The sequence below is a fragment of the Homo sapiens genome, chromosome 7 (genome assembly GCF_000001405.40).
Source record: "Homo sapiens chromosome 7, GRCh38.p14 Primary Assembly".
In the NCBI taxonomy this organism is placed as follows: domain Eukaryota; kingdom Metazoa; phylum Chordata; class Mammalia; order Primates; family Hominidae; genus Homo; species Homo sapiens.
The window spans coordinates 116,740,279-116,761,596 of record NC_000007.14 but is presented as its reverse complement, the minus strand read 5'-3'; the positions used below and the strand labels follow the sequence as shown (position 1 = coordinate 116,761,596).

The 21,318-nt window shown below is 39.5% G+C and overlaps 1 protein-coding gene across 6 annotated transcripts in view; it reads right to left on the bottom strand.

Annotated features, from left to right (window-relative positions):
• The window catches only part of MET (MET proto-oncogene, receptor tyrosine kinase), a 126,182-nt gene that overhangs the window by 36,781 nt on the left and 68,083 nt on the right, over positions 1–21,318 (bottom strand). For 4 of the 6 annotated variants that reach the window (XM_011516223.2, NM_000245.4, NM_001324402.2 and 1 more), the window contains 6 exons: positions 20,572–20,745; positions 6,082–6,242; positions 4,058–4,160; positions 3,823–3,959; positions 2,977–3,138; positions 2,107–2,206 (listed from right to left, as the gene is read on the bottom strand). In XM_011516223.2, the coding sequence (XP_011514525.1) occupies positions 2,107–2,206; positions 2,977–3,138; positions 3,823–3,959; positions 4,058–4,160; positions 6,082–6,242; positions 20,572–20,745 (837 nt within the window). Of the gene's footprint in view, positions 1–2,106; positions 2,261–2,976; positions 3,139–3,822; positions 3,960–4,057; positions 4,161–6,081; positions 6,243–20,571; positions 20,746–21,318 lie in introns of all 6 variants that reach the window. The other 2 variants (NM_001127500.3, XM_047420400.1) reach the window with 2 other exon arrangements.

Below are 21,318 nucleotides of genomic sequence, written 5' to 3'. Positions count from 1 at the left end.
ACATTTTGTTATGAAGATGATTGTTCTTGTTTTGAAAGGATTCAAGTTTATTGGACTTAAAGTTATTGTGGCTGGACCTATATATCTAAATCAGACCTGACCAAGAGTTTTTATTTGTTAAATAATAAATGGGTTCAATTCATCATGGTCAGCTTTAAATTCTATAAGTGGCAAGGAACATGGAATGAATACATATCTCCTTATAAAGTACTTTTCACAAACGACAGTAAAATAAATAGTAAATAGTAAAATAGATCCACTGAATTTTTCACTCTTGTCCGATTCTAATGTACAGTTCTACTGTACTAACATGTTTGTCACTAAAACAACAGAAGTTTATATTTCCAGATATATAAACAAATAAGATTTTTATCGTCTACCATTGTTTGAATCATCCTTGGGATATGTAACTCTCATGTGTGACACCTAAAAAGTTTTTAATAAATATTTGATTACAAATGAATGACTGAAGCTAAGGCATTCTGAGTGTCACTTTAATGCCAATGAGGGAGAAGAAAGGAAATTCAGTCATTATCTTAATAATGGAGGCTCAGCATTAATTAGATAAACTAATAATTTCTCAGATTTCTACTTTAAAAGGTCTCATACCAACACCAAAGAGGGTCACTATTATTCTTATTTGGTTAATGAAACATTGTTATGCTTAGTTGTGGAGAACTGATGTCCTTTAAATTAATAGCAGTGGTACTCTAACTTTGTTTGTGGCCATGTGTGGGGATTGGTTTCAAAATGCTTTGCTTCATATGGTGACTCCCTAGAGTACAATCTCTCAGGAATATGATAAAAATCTAATAATACTCTCTAGAGGTGATGCAATGTGGCTGATTGAGAAGGCCAAGAAAAATCTTATTTGAAATGACCTTATTATTTGGTGATTTGGCTTGACATTTTTAGCCCCAAATTGGTTTTTGTAATTAAAGAACATTGTGGCTTTAGTCTTCAAGAAATATTGGATGGAGAATCTAAAAGGAAGTGCTGTAATTCAATCTATCACCTGACCAATCAAGACCTTGCTTGAGCAAGAGCACTTAGAACTTTCATTCTGAGTTGAGTGCTCAAGTCCTACTAGATTATGGTATTTTATATTAGAGAAAAACATCAACAAAATGTATGGAATCTTTGGAAATAACTCCAAGCTTTCTAAGGTCTAAACTAAAACTACCACTTTAATGTGACCTATATAAAATAAGGATAGGTGGAGAAACAGCAAATAACATTCACACTTTAGGACATAACATAAATATTCTAATGCTCTTTCTTTGTTAGCTCTTTCAAGAAAGAGCTAACAAAGGGACAAGAAGAATGATAAGAAGAACAGGGGGCTGTAAGAAAGCATACGTCAGCTGCTTAGAAATGCAAGAATACTGCTGCAAGATCAGCAACCTTTTCCAAGGATTTTATTAGAGCAAAAGGGTCCATGTTCTATGACACATTAAAAAGGGACTAGGGAAATGCTGTGATTTCCATTTGTACTGACTGTCTGTAAAAACACTGCCTCAGGCCAGGCACAGTAGCTCATGCCTGTAATCCCAGCACTTTGGGAGGCCGAGGTGGGCAGATCATTTGAGGTCAAGAGTTCAAGACCAGCCTGGCCAACATGGTGAAACCTCGTCTCTACCAAAAAATACAAAAATTAGCCAGGCATGATGGCTCGTGCCTGTAGTCTCAGCTACTTGGGAGGCTGAGGTGGAGAATCGCTTGAACCTGGGAGGGGGAAATTGCAGTGAGCTGAGATCGTGCCCTTGCACTCCAGCCTGGATGACAGGGTGAGATACTGTCTCAAAAAAACCCTCAAAACCAACCAACCAACAAACATAAAAAAACACTGTCTCAAATTGGTAATCTTCATTCTTGTCTAAACATTATATGTGCATGTGTGTATGTGTATGTATTTTTTCCACATGGTTAGCCCAAGACTCTAGATAATTTCAGTTATTAAATAAAAAATACTACTTGGCTACACTGCAAGGAAATTAACTAGCAAACCTTAAAGGCGAAACTGAGATGTCTCAGGTACCATGAAAGCCACATGGTTAGAGGCAAAGATGCAGAGCTCTGAGTAGAACCATTGCTCAAAGGACTTACCACTGTAAAGTTCCTTCCTGCTTCATGCACATTTATGACCATTCTCGGGACACTAACTGAATTCAGGTTTTTCCCAACACCTGTTATTGTGCTCCCACCACTGGCAAAGCAAAATAGAAAACTGACAATGTTGAGAGGTTCTTTCCACCAAGTACTGTAAGAGAGGGATTCAATTTAATCACCTGCACTGATTACAGGTCAGAGGCACAGTCAACATCAAATGGAAGTTCATGGGTAACTGTTCTTTGGAAACAACTTATTTAACTTGAAAATATTTTTAAAATGCATATTTCATAAGCTTAAGAAATGCATTTGTATTTTATTCACCGAATTACACAAAATAAATATTTCACCTCTGAAAAAAATACAAAGAAAACCGAACTTAACTATTGTTGCTAGACTGATAGAATTAACGGAAACAAGGCAGATTGAACTGGGTCCAATGAGATATCAATTCAAAGAGAGTCTGGCATAAAGAAAAGCTGTGTGTAAAGCAGGCAGGACAAAAACATATCTAGAGAATGGAAGAAAAAAGGTAATTCCACTTCTGGGCACTAAGGTTAGTATAGAATTGATATGTACATAATGTAAGTGCATGTATACTACAATGCCACATTAAACTATTTTGCTATACTCTGTTTAAATGTAATAGAACAGGATAAGATACTTCTTGGAATGAACTAGCATTGATAAGTCAAACTACACTCAGAACCTGAATATAGTTTTCTCTCCTGAATTGGAAAGAAGCCTTCAAAAGCAACATAACAGCATCAAAGCCAGAGATAAAACTGCAATTCCTCTTGACTATTCTACAGCAAAATCATCCTTGTATTCATTGTTTTCTTATACCCATCAGAAGCTTCTACTTACCTAATAAAAGATTTGGTTGGATGAATTTCATAGACAATGGGATCTTCACGGTAACTGAAGATGCTTGTCTCTCGGTTGGCTAAGTCAATTTTCAATTTAACAGCAAACTCAGTTGAAATGGTTTGGGCTGGGGTATAACATTCAAGAATACTGTTTGACACACTGAACAAAAAAAATTAAGGAAGTGAATTTTAGCTATTAGAGATACACATATTTTAGAATTATATCCACAAATCAAAAGGATATAACTCAATGGTTCCTAAGTGGGAATTTCCTGAGTGGAAGCCTTTTCTAGTGTAGGCTGTTTAATCTGACTGGATCTCAAACTTACCTTTGTTGTGGACAAGCTATCCTTGACTGGAAAACATTTGAGATTTGAAAAAAAAACCTTTAAAGTACTTTTGGTACTTGATTAAACTGAGCTCTTCCAACTCTAAGAAGCAGAAACATAACTGTCTTCCAGACCCAATTTTCCCCATTTCTTCCTTCCCCAGAGTGACTTAGTCTAATTACAAATCTTGATGAAAATGTTTATTTTAAATTATTATCAATGACCAGACTCTCACAGCTCATAGTATAGCTAAGATCCTAAGCTATAACAATAAAGAGGGTGGATGGGAAGACAAAACTGAAAAGTAGGATTGCTAAAAAACAAGAGAAAGGAAGAAAAATCAGCAAAAGGAGTAGATGAATTTTGGAAGGAGGAAGTTTTGTCAGTAGGAGAGTAAACAAATAAACATCTTGATTTTTCTTCTCCACACACACACACAAAACAATCTGCTTAATTTTTAAGGTACAGATATTAATTCAAATTGACAGATGCAACAAAAAATAAATTTACAACACCTTTTTAAAGTACATGTTTTTCCACCAATTGAAATGTGTCTAGAATTCCCACTGTTTAGGTAATTTCCAGTTAAAGTAAGTAAAGTGCCACCAGCCATAGGACCGTATTTCGGCGAAATACTTGTTATTACAGGATCCTGGAGGGGAGATAAAAACAAAACAAAGTAACTTGTTCATCTTATAATTTAAATAGATTAAGTAAAAATCAAACATGATAGGATAGAATCTTCCTTACCACATAGGAGAATGTACTGTATTGTGTTGTCCCGTGGCCATTTGAAATAATTATGGACATATTGAAATGCTTATTCATGGCAGGACCAACTGTGCATTTCAATCTGGAAAAAAAACCCAAAGTTTAATACATGACAAATCCAAGGAATTTTCTGGTTAGGTTGTTTTATAGGAAGTGACATTAACTCTAAATGGTGAGCTGACTGCTTTGAATAGCAAGCAGAGTTTCAAGATAAGCATTAAGGCCAAAAATTATATAATCCTATTTCTATACTATGATAAACTTAACTTTTATTTTTATGTAAAAAGAGACAGGATCTTGCTCTGTCACCCAGGCTGGAGGGCAGTGGCATAGTCATAGCTCACTGCAGCCTTGAACTCCTGGGCTCAAGGGATCCTCTGGACTCAGGAGTTGGAACTAGAGGTGCATGCCACGGCATCTGGTTAATTAAAAAAAAATTTTTTTTTTTTTTTGGTAGAGATGGAGTCTCACTACGTTGCCCAGGCTGGTCTTGAATTCCTGGGCTCAGGTGATCCTCCTGCCTTGGTCTGCCAAAGTGCTGGGATCACAGGCGTAAGCCACTGCACCCTGCTTATACTAAACTTTACATTAATGGTACTATAGCACTTATACAGACAAACAGGAAATATCAGACCTTATCCATAAAGACCTCACCAGTTGAATAGTGCATAATAATCTAAGTTTGGATAATATTAATATTTGGGGATAATCTTTGGTCCACTTCAGATGCATATGAAACAATGGGCTAACTACAAATAGGCCAATCTCTTCATTAAAGTATGTCAACAGGTACATTTCTGTGGTTATACTTGTACATGCTTATTTAAATTACTTAAATGATAATGAAATTGTGATGGCTTTCCATAGAATTATTTCTGAATGAATAATCATATAGTTCTGAGAAAATTTAAATACAATTTGATTTATTAAATAACTTTTTAAAGGAGAGAATGAATTATGCTTTACTTTTACAGGTCCTGATTTATATGCAATGATTAAGAGTTTTGGAGATTTTACAAGGGAGATTTCTAGAAAAAATTTGTTTTGCCATTCAGCTAACAAATATTACCTTCATTAGTGTTTTGGTCTCAGTAAAATGGATAGATTCGGACCTTTGTGTAACCCTGAAATGAATTCTATTAGATATAAAATAACCACCTGATAGAATGGGTTCAATCATAAAGATTCAACCATAAAACTTTAAATATTTGAGTGTTGTTATTATGTGATAATGAATAATTTCTGGATTCTCTGATGATTATGGAATTCAAAGCTTGTAGAAGGGTACATGTAGAATACAGTAGAACTAGCACGGGTCTTGGATCAGAAGATGATCAGAGCTGAGCTGAAGGCTTGTTCAGCTCTTACTCTCTGGATTACCTCTGTGAAGCCACACTTCATCTCTCTGAACTTCAGGTACCTCTTTTATATTATAGGAATGATACTGCTCCCTCCCAGGACCGTGGGGATGGTTCAGTGAGATACAGCCCATATATTGCAGTGCCAGTAAATATAAGCTGAATATAAATTTTAACTCATCTAAAAAAGTCTCAAACACGTGATTCAGCTGCCTCACTACATTTCTGAGGTTTAGAAAGTGAATTTAAAAGAGAGGATCCATGCTGAGCTGTTTACTGATTTCTGTAGAAAAAGCCTTTGGAGACTCTACATTTGAAGACTCCAAGGATGAAGTGATCCCAACTAGTGCTACTCTTGCAAATCTACTCAGACAACACCTGAAGACTTGTCGCATAAATGGTTGAGAAACTCCCATTTCTGGCCTCTTCTCTTCACCTAGGCCATGTCACCTTTCTCTCTCTTCAAATCCAATGAGTAAATGGGATTACAAGAACAAAACAGAACAGACCCACAAGGCATGTGACAGGCCAAGACCCTTTTTAATTCAAGAGATGAGCTTCTTGAGCAATTTTAAAAGAAATATTCATTCAAAAACAAAACCTATTTTCCAAGCACACCCCAGCAAAGCATTTTAAGATCCTTACGTATTCATCGTGCTCTCACTTAAAGTCAAGGTGCAGCTCTCATTTCCAAGGAGAACTCTAGTTTTCTTTAAATCAAATTTATTATTCCTCCGAAATCCAAAGTCCCAGCCACATATGGTCAGCCTTGTCCCTCCTTCAAGGGGTGCACTATTTGGGAAAACCTACAAGGACAACATAGAACTTTTAAAAAAACCCAATATATTATAATTTTTCACATATATGGAAAACGAACAAACAAAATGTATATCCTTAAATAGTCTGAAATTCTTTCATTTTCCCACAATTTAGTAAAAATTTAATTTTCACTAAAGGGAAAAGGGTCACAAATTTCAGAGCATCTGGAACAAACATTAAAACTACATGACATGTTAATGAAACAAGTTGTTTTCAGGAGATCCAAAGATGGGACAAAGAGCAGATGCAGCTTGGTAGGAATAAAGGGGCTTTTCGAGTCCTTCCGTTCTTTCTTTCTTTTCTTTCTTTCTTTCTTTCTTTCTTTCTTTCTTTCTTTCTTTCTTTCTTTCTTTCTTTCCTTTCTCTGCTTCCTTCCTTCTCTTTCTTTCTCTTTCTTTCTTTCTTTCTTTCTTTCTTTCTTTCTTTCTTTCTTTCTTTCTTTCTTTCTCTCTTTCTCTCTCTCTCTCTTTCTTTCTTTTTCTTTCCCTCCCTTCCTTTCTTCCTTCTTTCTTTTCTTTTCTTTTTCAGACAGAGTCTGGCTCTGTTGTTCAGGCTGGAGTGCAGTGGCGTGATCATGGCTCACTGCAGCCTCAACCTCTTGAGCTCAAGCAATCCTCCCACATTAGCCTCCTGAGTAGCTGGGATCACAGGCGTGGGCCACCATGCTTGGCTATTTTTTTTTTTTCTAGAGACAGGGTCTCACTACGTTGCCCAGCTGGTCTCAAACTCCTGGGCTCAAGTGATCCTCCTGCCTTGGCCTCCCAAAGTGCTAGGATTACAAGCATGAGCCATTGGACCTGGCCCTTTTTGGGCCATTCTGAAGTGAATTCATCTTCTAGGGCTCTTTAGGGTAGGAGTAGAAACACGTTGGGCCCAGACTTTTACTTGCTCATAACTCTGATTGTAACTCTTCATCAGCCTTCGGACTGAGCTCTTATCAAACTCCTTCATGTGCTCTATAAGCCAAGGTCCAGCCATTATACGCCTTGCTCTGTGCACTGGCTGCGTGCACTACATTCTGGTTGCTATGGTATTCCCCACCCAGAGACAAAAGTTGCACAGTAAAAATACCTCATTTGGTATCCAGTGTTTGCCCAGTTGCATTCAGCAGCTAGCATAATATGAAACATATAGATGGTTTTGGAACACATATCTGCCAATAATTCATTCATTCATTCATTCATTCATTATTTACTTATTTACTTTTAGAGATGGGGGTCTCACTCTTGCCCAGTCTGCAGTGCAGTGGCATAGTCCTAGCTCACTGCAGCCTCAAACTCCTGGGCTCAAGCAATCCTCCCGCCTCAGCCTCTCTAGTAGACAGGACTACAGGTGTGCGCCACCTCACCCAGCTAATTTTTAAATTTCTGTAGAGACGGGGTCTTGTTATGCTGCCCAGGTTTCATTAATTATTTCTTAATAAAGCACCTCCTATGCACCAGGCACTAACAAATGAAAAGTGAATCTACTTCTTTTTACCTATTAGTTCACATTTATTAATGACTGAAGATTTTTCCTTGTTCTTTAAATATGGTCACTATTTGATGTATACCAGGCTGGTTAGTTGACACACTCAGCCTTTTAAAAATTATGTAATATTTAATACATGTGTTATGTTGTTTCTTTTAGAAATAGATAAAAACGGAACCAGAGAGGGCCCAAAATCAGTATTGTAACAATTTTTCCTAATTATCTTCATTGGTATTGTTTTATATCTCATTTTTAGGATTAAATTTTTCCCCCTGATGGTTGATGTTAAGCAAATAACAGACTCATTTTGTTATTGCAGACTCATTTCTGGTATGTTATCAATGGATTTATTGATAAACCTTGGTCAGTCATGATTTAAGACCGCATTAGGCACCTATAAAGTGTGTAAGATAATTGCTCTCAGGCTAAAACTATTAAAACAAAACACATTTCCAAGTTAAAAATAAGCTTCTTCTCAGCAGCTTTGTGACAATTGAGAAAGGAAATGCTCTTTTGGGGGTGGGGACATATTGTAAATTGTGCTGTAAAGTACAATGGTGGGAAAACTAAGATAGAGGCAACTCAAGAACCAGTAAAGGTATTTGCTAAAGCTCAGCTTGTGAACATCTAAAAGTGATTCTTTTACAATTAAGAAGGGCTTTTAGCCAAATTCAAACTTGCAAACATTTCCATCCTTCCTAAGTAAATAATTGCAAACCAAAGTCTTAATGTACCCTCGTTATCAAACCCCTTTAAAGTTTTAGCTTAAAGCTTTTATGATAGCCATTTTACCCATAAAAATCCATTACACTGTTGTGCCTTTCCTGAAAATTTACCTCATCCATGTCTAGTCAAATGAGAACTACTAGAAAAATAAATCTGTTTATTATTATTATGGTAGAAATCCAGTAGGAGAGAACAAGACATCCAACCCTCCCAGGACTCTCTTCAGCCTGAGGCAGTCACACAGCTGCTGCCGGCTCTTCTAATGAGGAGGCTTCCCCACTGAAAACGCTGCCCAAGGCTGATGTTGGCCTGATCCCACTGCCTACATCCCGTCTTTCTATGTAAAAACTGAAGTCTGTCACTCTACACACATCATTACCATCACTTTCTATAAAAGGCAAACGGATTGGGTGATGATTTGAGAAAAGACGCAGAGAGCTGCGCAACTGGGGCACTGGCAATAGGAAGAGATATTATAAGCCCTCTGCTAGACCCTCAGGATCCAAGAGGCTCGCTCTGCTTAGCTTTTCTCTCTGGGCTGGGCATTTTCCCCTTAGCTTATGGGGTAACCTTTACCCTTCTAGGGAAAAAGGAAGGAAGCAGTTGTGAACTACACACCCTTGGATAGACCCAACAATGGCTGGCAAACTCTGAGTTATCCTGAAGGGCAGAGAAACTCTGTGGGCAGGAAATGAGCGTCCGGCATAAAGCCACAGAGGCTGGGTCTCCTACCTGTCTGGATAGGGGAGATACAGCCACAAAAGTAGCCCTTGTCTTTTCACAGGTGAAAGATCACATCACTGATGGGCCCATTCCAACAGTATTTTAAATGATCATGCTTTCAAAACCCATTAGGATAAAACATGAGAAAACTAAAAAACAAAAACAAAACAGAACAAAAAAACTCCAAAAGGGGTCTCCTTTCCTCTTTAGTAGAACTCACAAATATATTTACTGGTGGCAGTATACTGCCTGCCTACCCTCCTATCCCTATATAATACTGCTTTTCTGAGTATTCTGATCAATGAATAGTTCTGTTGTCTCACTGGGGTTGAATTTTCTTTCTTTCTTTCTTTTTTTTTATTGAGACAGAGTCTCGTTCTGTCATCCAGGCTGGAGTGCAGTGGAGCAATCTTGGCTCACTGCAAGCTCCGCCACCCAGGTTCACGCCATTCTCCTGCCTCAGCCTCCCGAGTAGCTGGTACTACAGGCACCTGCCACCATGCCTAGCTAATTTTTCCTATTTTTAGTGGAGACAGGGTTTCACCGTGTTAGCCAGGATGGTCTCGATCTCCTGACCTCGTGATCTGCCCACCTCGGCCTCCCAAAGTGCTGGGATTACAGACATGAGCCACCACGCCCGGCCTGAATTTTCAACCTTACAAGATATGATAACTGCATCCTAATACATTCAGAATATATTAAAAAGTGCTCTCCCTTTTCTGAAGCATTTCTCATTGCTCTTTAAGTATGAGATCAGATACCATGTTTGAAGCAAAATAATGGGCTTACAGTCCTGAAATCTCTCATATCTAGAACTGTAAAGAATTTTAGCCACTGAACATCATGTACCTTGAAAAGCAGGTTAACTTGCATGTATTAGAAAGTGAAACTCCATACATTAGCTGGATTTTGTGCCTGCAAAGTTTAAGACACATAAGATTATCTGTCATCTACATTAGGTATTTCTCCTAATGCTATCCCTCCCCTAGACCCCCGCCACCCGACAGGCCCCTATGTGTGATGTTTCCCTCCTTGTGTCCATGTGTTCTCATGGTTCAACTCCCACTTATGAGTGAGAACATGCAGTGTCTGGTTTTCTGTTCCTGTGTTAGCTTGCTGGGAATTACGGTTTCCAGCTTCATCCATGTCCCTGCAAAGGACATGAACTCATCCTTTTTTATGGCTGCATAGTATTCCATGGCATATATGTGCCACATTTTCTTTATCCAGTCTATCTTTGATGGGCATTTGGGTTGGTTCCAAGTCTTTGCTATTGTGAGTAGTGCTGCAATAAACATACGTGTGCATGTATCTTTATATTAGAATGACTTATAATCCTTTGGGTATATACCCAGTAATGGGATTGCTGGGTCAAATGGTATTTCTGATTCTAGATCCTTGAGGAATCGCCATACTGTCTTCCACAATGGTTGAACTAATTTACACTCCCACCAACAGTGTAAAAGCATTCCCTATTTCTCCACATCCTCTCCAGCACATATTGTTTCCTGACTTTTTAATGATCACCATTCTAACTGGTGTGAGATGGGATCTCATTGTGGTTTTGATTTGCATTTCTCTAATAACCAGTGATGATGAGCTTTTTTTCATATGTTTTTTGGCCACCTAAATGTCTTCTTTTGAGAAGTGTCTGTTTATATCCTTGGCCCACTTTTTGATGGTTTTTTTCCTTGTAAATTTGTTTAAGTTCCTTGTAGATTCTGGATATTAGCCCTTAGTCAGATGAATAGATTGCAACAATTTAATCCTGTTCTGTAGGTTGCCTGTTCACTCTGATGATAGTTTCTTTTGCTGTGCAGAAGCTCTTTAATTAGATCCCATTTGTCAATTTAGACTTTTGTTGCCATTGCTTTTGGTGTTTTAGTCATGAAGTCTTTGCCCATGCATATGTCCTGAATGGTATTGCCTAGGTTTTCTTCTAGGGTTTTTATGGTTTTTAGGTCTTGCGTTTAAGTCTTTAATCTATCTTGAGTTAATTTTTGTATAAGGTGTAAGGAAGGGGTCCAGTTTCAGTTTTCTGCATATGGATAGCCAGTTTTCCCAACATCATTTATTAAATAGGGAATCCTTTCCCCATTGCTTGTTTTTGTCAGGTTTGTAAAAGATCAGATGGTTGTAAATGCGTGGTGTTATTTCTGAGGCCTCTGTTCTGTTCCATTGGTCTATATCTCTGTTTTGGTACCAGTACCATGCTGTTTTGGTTACTGCAACCTTGTAGTATAGTTTGAAGTCAGGTAGCGTGATGCCACCAGCTGTGTTCTTTTTGCTTAGGATTGTCTTGGCTATGCGGGCTCTTTTTTGGTTCCATATGAAATTTAAAGTAGCTTTTTCTAATTCTGTGAAGAAAGTCAATGGTAGCTTTATGGGGATAGCATTGAATGTATAAATTACTTTGGGCAATATGGCCATTTTCACAATATTGAGTCTTCCTATCCATGAGCATGGAATGTTTCTCCATTTGCTTGTGGTTTGTAGTTCTTGAAGAGGTCCTTTTCATCCCTTGTAAGTTGTATTCCTAGGTATTTTATTCTCTTTGTAGCAATTGTGAATGAGACTTCACTCATGATTTGGCTCTCTGTTTGTCTATTATTGGTGTATGGGAATGCCTGTGATTTTTGCACATTGATTTTGTATCCTGAGAATTTGCCGAAGTTGCTTATCAGCTTAAGGAGATTTTGGGCTGAGACGATGGGGTTTTCTAAATATGCAATCATGTCATCTGCAAACAGAGACAATTTGACTTCCTCTCTTCCTATCTGAATACCCTTTATTTGTTTCCCCTGCCTGATTGCCCTGGCCAGAACTTCCAATGTTATGTTGAATAGGAGCGGTGAGAGAGGGCATCCTTGTCTTGTGCTGGTTTTCAAAGGGAATGCTTCCAGCTTTTGCCCATTCAAAATGATATTGGCTGTGGGTTTATCATAAATAGCTCTTATTATTTTGAGATATGTTCCATCAACACCTAGTTTGTTGAGAGTTTTTAGCACGAAGGGGTGTTGAATTTTATCGAAGGCCTTTTCTGCATCTATTGCAATAATCGTGTGGTTTTTGTCATTGGTTCTGTTTATGTGATGGATTATGTTTATTGATTTGCCTGTGTTGAACCAGCCTTACATTCCAGGGATGAAGCCAACTTGATTGTGGTGGATAAGCTTTTTGATGTGTTGCTGGATTTGGTTTGCCAGTATTGTATTGAGGATGTTCACATCGATGTTCATCAGGGATATTGGCCTGAAATTTTCTTTTTTTGTGTTGTGTCTCTGTCTGGTTTTGGTATCAGGATGATGCTGGCCTCATAAAATGAGTTAGGGAGGAGTCCCTTGTTTTTCTATTGTTTGGAATAGTTTCAGAAGGAATGGTACCAGCTCCTCTTTGTACCTCTGGTAGAATTCGGCTGTGAATCCGTCTGGTCCTGGGCTTTTTTTGGTTGGTAGGCTGTTAATTACTGTCTCAATTGCAGAACTTGTTATTGGTCTATTCAGGGATTCAACTTCTTCCTAGTTTAGTCTTGGGAGGCTGTATGTGTCCAGGAATTTATCCATTTCTTCTAGATTTTCTAGTTATTTGCATGGAGATATTTATAGTATTCTCTGATGGTAGTTTGTATTTCTGTGGGATCAGTGGTGATATCCCCTTTATCATTTTGTACTGTGTCTATTTGATTCTTCTCTCTTTTCTTCTTGATGATTCTGGCTAGCAGTCTATCAATTTTGTTGATCTTTTCAAAAAACCAGCTCCTGGGGTTTTTCGTGTCTCTATGTCCTTCAGTTCTGCTCTGATCTTAGTTATTTCTTGTCTTCTGTTAGCTTTTGAATTTGTTTGCTCTTGCTTCTCTAGTTCTTTCAATTGTGATGTTAGGGGTTGATTTTAGGTCTTTCCCACTTTCTCCTGTGGGCATTTAGTGCTACAAATTTCCCTCTAAACACTGCTTTAGCTGTGTCCCAGAGATTCTGATATGTTGTGTCTTTGTCTTTGTTCTTATTGGTTTCAAAGAACTTATTTATTTCTGCCTTAATTTCATTATTTAACTTGAAAAATAACAAATGTACCAGTTGTTTACCGAGTAGTCAGTAGTCATTCAGGAGCAGGTTATTCAGTTTCCAGGTAGTTGTGTGGTTTTGAGTGAGCTTCTTTTTTGTTGTTGTTGTTTTTGTTTTTGACATGGAGTCTTGCTCTGTTGCCCAGGCTGGAGTGCAGTGGCGCCTTCGCGGCTCACTACAAGCTCCGCCTCCTGGGTTCACACCATTCTCCTGCCTCAGCCTCCCGAGTAGCTGGGACTACAGGCGCCCGCCACCATGCCCAGCTAATTTTTAGTATTTTTAGTGGAGATGGGGTTTCACCATGTTAGTCAGGATGTCTGGATCTCCTGACCTTGTGATCCGCCCGCCTCAGCCTCCCAAAGTGCTGGGATTACAGGCGTAAGCCACTGCACCCGGCCTTAAGTGAGTTTCTTAAACTCGAGTTCTAATTTGATTGTAGTGTCATCTGAGAGACTGTTTGTTTGCATTTGCTGAGGAGTGTTTTACTGCCAATTATGTGGCCAATTTTAGAATAAGTGCTATGTGGTGCTGAGAAGAATGTATATTCTACTGATTTGGAATGGAGAGTTCTGTAGATGTCTATTAGGTCTGCTTGGTCCAGAGCCGAGTTCAAGTCCTGGATACCCTTGTTAACTTTCTGTCTCCTTGATCTGTCTGATGTTGATAGTGGGGTGTTAAAGTCTCCTATTATTATTGTGTGGGAGTCTAAGTCTCCTTGTAGGTCTCTAAGGACTTGCTTTACGAATCTGGGTGTTCCTGTATTGGGAGCATATATATTTAGGATAGTTAGCTCTTCTGGTTGTGTTGATCCCTTTACCATTATGTAATGCCCTTCTTTGTCTTTTTTGATCTTTGTTGGTTTGAAGTCTGTTTTATCAGAGACTAGGATTGCAACCCCTGCTTTTTTTGCTTTCCATTTGCTTGGTAAATCTTCCTCCGCCCCTTTATTTTGAGCCTATGTGTGTCTTTGCACGTGAGATGGGTCTCCTGAATACAGCACACCAATGGGTCTTGACTCTTTATCCAATTTGCCAGTCTGTGTCTTTTAATTGGGGCATTTAGCCTATTTACATTTAAGGTTAATAGTGTTATGTGTGAATTTGATCCTAGCTGGTTATTTTGCCCATTGGTTGATGTAGTTTCTTCACAGTGTCAATGGTCTTTACAATTTGGTATGTTTCTGCAGTAGGTGGTACCGGTTTTTCCTTTCTATATTTTGTGCTTCCTTCAGGAGCTCTTGTAAGACAGGCCTGATGGTGACAAAATCTCTCAGCATTTGCTTGACTGTAAAGGATTTTATTTCTCCTTCACTTATGAAGCTTAGTTTGGCTGGATATGAAATTCTGGGAAGGAAATTATTTTCTTTAAGAATGTTGAATATTGGCCCCCACTGTCTTCTGGCTTGTAGGGTTTCTTTTTTTATATATATTTTTTATTATACTTTAAGTTCTAGGGTACATGTGCACAATGTGCGGGTTTGTTACATATGTATACATGTGCATGTTGGTGTGCTGCACCCATTAACTTGTCATTTACTTAGGTATATCTCCTAATGCTAACTCTCCCCCCTCCCCCGACCCCACAACAGGCCCCGGTGTGTGATATTCCCCTTCCTGTGTCCACGTGTTCTCATTGTTCAATTCCCACCTATGAGTGAGAACATGCGGTGTTTGGTTTTTTGTTCTTGCGATAGTTTGCTCAGAATGATGGTTTCCAGCTTCATCCATGTCCCTACAAAGGACATGAACTCATCCTTTTTTATGGCTGCATAGTATTCCATGGCATATATGTGCCACATTTTCTTAATCCAGTCTATCATTGTTGGACATTTGGGTTGGTTCCAAGTCTTTGCTATTCTGAATAGTGCTGCAATAAACATACATGTGCATGTGTCTTTACAGCAGCATGCTTTATAATCCTTTGGGTATATACCCAGTAATGGGACAGCTGGGTCAAATGGTATTTCTAGTTCTAGATCCCTAAGGAATCACCACACTGTCTTCCACAATGGTTGAACTAGTTTACAGTCCCATCAACAGTGTAAAAGTGTTCCTATTTCTCCACATCCTCTCCAGCACATATTGTTTCCTGACTTTTTAATGATTGCCATTCTAACTGGTGTGAGATGGTATCTCATTGCGGTTTTGATTTGCATTTCTCTGATGGCCAGTGATAATGAGCATTTTTTCATGTGTCTTTTGACTGCATAAATGTCTTCTTTTGAGAAGTGTCTGTTCATATCCTTTGCCTACTTGTTGATGGGGTTGTTAGATTTTTCTTGTAAATTGGTTTGAGTTCTTTGTAGATTCTGGATATTAGCCCTTTGTCAGATGAGTAGATTGCAAAAATTTTCTCCCATTCTGTAGGTTGCCTGTTCACTCTGATGGTAGTTTCTTTTGCTGTGCAGAAGCTCTTTAGTTTAATTAGATCCCATTTGTCAATTTTGGCTTTTGTTGCCATTGCTTTTGGTGTTTTAGACATGAAGTCCTTGCCCACGCCTATGTCCTGAATGGTATTGCCTAGGTTTTCTTCTAAGGTTTTTATAGTTTTAGGTCTAACATTTACATCTTTAATCCATCTTGAATAAATTTTTGTATAAGGTGTAAGGAAGGGATCCAGTTTCAGCTTTCTCCATATGGCTAGCCAGTTTTCCCAGCACCATTTGTTAAATAGAGAATCCTTTCCCCATACCTTGTTTTTGTCAGGTTTGTCAAAGATCAGATAGTTGTAGATGTGTGGTATTATTTCTGAGGGCTCTGTTCTGTTCCATTGATCTATATCTCTGTTTTGGTGCCAGTACCATGCTGTTTTGGTTACTGTAGCCTTGTAGTATAGTTTGAAGTCAGGTAGCATGATGCCTCCAGCTTTGTTCTTTTGGCTTAGTATTGACTTGACAATGCAGGCTCTTTTTTGGGTCCATATGAACGTTAAAGTAGTTTTTTCCAATTCTGTGAAGAAAGTCATTGGTAGCTTGATGGGGATGGCATTGAATCTATAAATTACCTTGGGCAGTATGGCCATTTTCATGATATTGATTCTTCCTATCCATGAGCATGGAATATTCTTCCATTTGTTTGTATCCTCTTTTATTTCCTTGAGCAGTGGTTTGTAGTTCTCCTTGAAGAGGTCCTTCACATCCCTTGTAAGTTGGATTCCTAGGTATTTTATTCTCTTTGAAGCAATTGTGAATGGGAGTTCACTCATGATTTGGCTCTCTGTTTGTCTGTTATTGGTGTATAAAAATGCTTGTGATTTTTGCACATTGAATTTGTATCCTGAGACTTTGCTAAAGTTGCTTATCAGCTTAAGGAGACTTTGGGCTGAGACGATGGAGTTTTCTAAATATACAATCATGTCATCTGCAAACAGGGACAATTTGACTTCCTCTTTTCCTAATTGAATACCCTTTATTTCTTTCTCCTGCCTGTTTGTCCTGGCCAGAAATTCCAACACTATGTTGAATAGGAGTGGTGAGAGAGGGCATCCCTGTCTTGTGTCTGTCTTGTAGGGTTTCTGCAGAGAGATCCACTGTTAGTCTGATGGGCTTCCCTTTGTGGGTAACCCGACTTTTCTCTCCGGCTGCCCTTAACATTTTTTCCTTCATTGCAACCTTGGTGAATCTGACTATTATGTGTCTTGGTGTTGCTCTTCTAGAGGAGTATCTTTGTGGTGTTCTCTGTATTTCCTGAATTTGAATGTTGGGCTGTCTTGCTAGGTTGGGGAAGTTCTCCTGGATAATATTCTGAAGAGTGTTTTCCAACTTGGTTCCATTCTCCCTGTAACTTTCAGGTACACCAATCAAATGTAGGTTTGGTCTTTTCACATAGTCGCATATTTCTTGGAGGTTTTGTTCATTCCTTTTCATTCTTTTTTCTCTAATCTTGTCTCCACACTTTATTTCATTAAGTTGATATTCAATCTCTGACATTCTTTCTTCCACTTGATTGATTTGGCTATTGATACTTGTGTATGCTTCATGAAGTTCTCATGCTGTGTTTTTCAGCTCCATCAGGTCATTTATGTTTTTCTCTAAACGGTTATTCTAGTTAGCAATTCCTCTAGCTTTTTTTTCAAGGTTCTTAGCTTCCTTGCATTGGGTTAGAACATGCTCCTTTAGCTTGGAGGAGTTTGTTATTACCCAAATTCTGAGGCCTGCTGCTGTCAATTTGTTAAACTCATTCTCTGTCCAATTCTGTTTCCTTGCTGGCAAGGAGTTGTGATCCTTTGGAGGAGAAGAGGTGTTCTGGTTTTTGGAATTTTCAGCCTTTCTGCGCTGGTTTTTCCTCATCTTCATGGATTTATCAACCTTTGGTCTTTGATGTTGGTGACCTTTGAATAGGGTTTTTGTGTGGACGTTCTTTTTGTTTATGTTAATGCTATTGCTTTCTGTTTGTTAGTTTTTCTTCTAACAGTCAGGCCTCACTGCTGCAGGTCTTCTGGAGTTTGCTGGAGGTCCACTCCAGACCCTGTTTGCCAGGGTATCACTAGCAGAGGCTGTAGAACAGCAAAGATTGCTGCCTATTCCTTCCTCTGGAAGCTTCATCCTAGAGGGGCACCCACCAGATGCCAGCCAGAGCTCTCCTGTGTGAGGTGTCTGTCGACCCCTGCTGGGAGGTGTCTCCCAGTCAGGAGGCACAGGGGTCAGGGGCCCACTTGAAGAGGCAATCTGTCCCTTAGCAGAGCTAGAGCACTGTGCTGGGGGATTTGCTGCTCTCTTCAGAGCCAGCAGGCAGGAATGTTTAAGTCTGCTGAAGCTGTACCCTTTACAGTGTGAGGGGAAAATAGCCTATTCAAGCCTCAGTAATGGTGGACACCCCTCCCTGCACCAAGCTCCAGCATCCCAGGTCAACTTCAGACTGCTGTGCTGGCAGTGAGAATTTGAAGCCAGTGCATCTTAGCTTGCTGGGTTCTGTAGGGGTGGGATCCACTGAGCTAGACCACTTGGCTCCCTGGCTTCAGCCCCCTTTCCAGGGGAGTGAATGGTTCTGTCTTGCTGGCATTCCAGGCACCACTGGGGTATGAAAAAAAACTCCTGCTCGGTGTCTGCCCAAATGGCCGCCCAGTTTTGTGCTTCAAACCCAGGGTCCTGGTGGTGTAGGCAAATGAGGGAATCTCCTGGTCTGTTAGTTGCCAAAACCATAGGGAAGTGTAGTATCTGGGCCGGAATGCATTGTTCCTCACAACACAGTCCCTCAAGGATTCCTTTTGCTAGGGGAGGGAGTTCCCCAATCCCTTGCCCTTCCCAGGTGAGGCAACATCCCACCTTGCTTCAGCTCAACCTCTGTGGGCTGCACCCACTGTCTAACCAGTCCCAATGAGATGAGCCGTGTACCTCTGTTGGACATGCAGAAATCACCTGCCTTCTGCACTGATCTTGCTGCGAGCTGCAGACCGGAGCTGTTCCTACTCGGCCATCTTAACACCCACCTCGAGTCTGTCTTATGTTTTGCAGGAAGAATGCTAACTGTCACAGTCTGGTGCAGCATGAAATCTTCCTAACAACTATGAACCTAGAGGGATTTATGGACTCAGCTGCCCTGCCTTCCTAACTGCAGCTTAAGCCTCACTGACTTGTGCATGGTAGCACGCAACCTTTGAGAATCATCAACTATAGAATGCTAGAGTTAAGAAGGGTGAGAGAGGAGGGACATTTAAATATTGCAAGAGATTCTCTGGTTCCAGAAAATTCTGAAATATTTACTTTATTTTTAAGCATTTTAGTATAGCTTTTATGCTTAGTAAAAGGAAGCACATTAGTAAAAATTAAATGTTTCATTTGTACAGGTTATCAAACCATTTTCTTTACTTAAAATACCAGCTTGGTTATTTTTGAAATGAAATTGTTGTGATTTAATTGCATGGGCACACACACATATATTTTCCATATCTATTTCATGGAATAGCAGAGTTCAGATTCCTAGTGTCTCAAATTGCTGAAGTTGTTTGTTTATAAAAGTATAAAATTGCATACGGTTCCAAAAGTATACTGAACAACAAAAAAGTACACAAATACTACAGTATAGATTTAAATTTGTTTTGTCACTGTCTTTAGTTTATTCTCTGGTCAATCAAGCTAAGTCTTAATAACTGTGTCACACCTAACAGAAAATAACTTGGTTTAAAACCCAGTCACCCACTACAAATCTTGCTCCAAACCGTAACTAAATGAAAACAGCCATGCACTTGGGGGTGGTTCTTGTTCTGACTCGCACATTTTGTTTACTTGGGCATGAACCAGGTGACCGAGACCTTTAACTTGAATCTTTCATAAGAACTATTTACTAAAGTCCAACTTTTCTACATGCACACAGAGAAAAATACACACTGGGTTCTCACCAGGGAAGTGTTTTTAAGCAAGATGTTTTGGACTAAGAAATTTTTAAAAATTGCGTGGAGATTTTCATAGTGCCGAATATATGCTTAAGCAAATAAGGCAACACAGTTAGCATGGCTGCGATGTTAGAGCCAATGTCCATTGCCAGAAACTGAGTTCTCTATCAGCAAGAGATGTGCTCATCTTGTTCTGGACTATATCTCCTCAGGGACTAGAGGGCAGCCTGCTAAATGGTATGCACTCAATAAATATTTTTGGAATGAATTAAAGAGTGGCATGGCTTACAGAAGTATAGATGTTAGTATAGTCATCCGTTGAGCCTTTGCTTTTTTTTCTGGGAACACTGAAGGAAGACTCACAGCCACCCATGGGTGTTGACCCTCCACTTGCCTTGCCCACCTCACCCCGGGAAATAATCTTCAGTCTCATCTGTGAACAGACAAGGCCACCATCTATGCATCGGACAGGAAGAAAACTGTCCTGTGTGCCCCAGCATGGCAGGGATCACCAGTTTGCAGGATTCAGCTCAGGGTTCCAGGATATGCCATGAACAGATCTGTTTCTGTGATGGAGGCTCATGTCTGGGCACTTGGCCTATATAGGAAGTGGCGAGGAATCAGAGAGTGGGTGAGTCAGGAGGGAACAGGCCCCAGTGTGAGAAAATGGGGAGCACTGTTGCTTATTCACCACCACTCTTTTATTCACACGGCACTAAAGGTGAGCAGCTGCCCAGCGATAGAACCTAGACAATGTGAAGCAAGCACTTCAGGTGCAGGACTTGGGGGGATGCCCAAACACCACCCCCTCCCTGCCCGAGGGATAAAGCCAAGAGAGAGATGGTGCTTTAGCTGATGACTCACAGCTAAATGAGTAAATTGATTTTTAAATTTTTTTCATTAGTGGGATTTGTATCTAAAAAAACAAAAAACAAACCAAACCAAACCAAAAAAAAAAAAAAAACACCAAACAAAAACATGTATGCCAGCTGTTAGAGATTCCTACCTTGTAGATTGCAGGCAGACAGATCTGTTGAGTCCATGTCCCGCTCAGGCATTCCTCCGATCGCACACATTTGTCGTGGCACCAGCCACACTGAACAAAGGGTGGGGCAGAGAGGCATTGACTGCAGGACTGGAAATGTCTGCAGCCCAAGCCATTCAATGGGATCTTCGTGATCTGTGAAGAGAAGGGGTGGAAAGAGCTTCCAGAGGGGTATCTAGTTTGTTAATTAATTATAAAGTAAGTACACAAAAGGTACATGTAAATATCATTTGATGGAATTTTCTAGACTTAGCAACTATGTGTGCAAATCCTGTCATAACGGTGATTAAAATTTTAAAAATCTGATTCCTTCCTTTCCTTTATTGTTAGCAGGTATGTGAAAAAGTAACATTATTGTCCAGTGAGCATAGCATTGCCACACAATGTTAGAGGTTCTACATAGTAGGGACATTGTGCCCTGTCTGAGATGATTTTAAAATAACAAGAGAGTATAATTTAAGTGGTGGGAAAACACACTTGAATCTCTGGAAAATTCTAAGTAAAGTTGCATGTCATTCTGGCATCAAGATGCACTTTCTTCTCTAGGAGAAAAGGGATTATTGGTTGGAGTCGGATTCCAATGTACATTTCCAGGATTTATCTGCCTGCACTAGAGCTCTGTCATTAGGACTGTAATTCTCATTCTGTGTGTTTATTTTTCTTGTTGAGAAATATAGGACAAAAGGAGAAGTTTTGAAAAAGACCTCC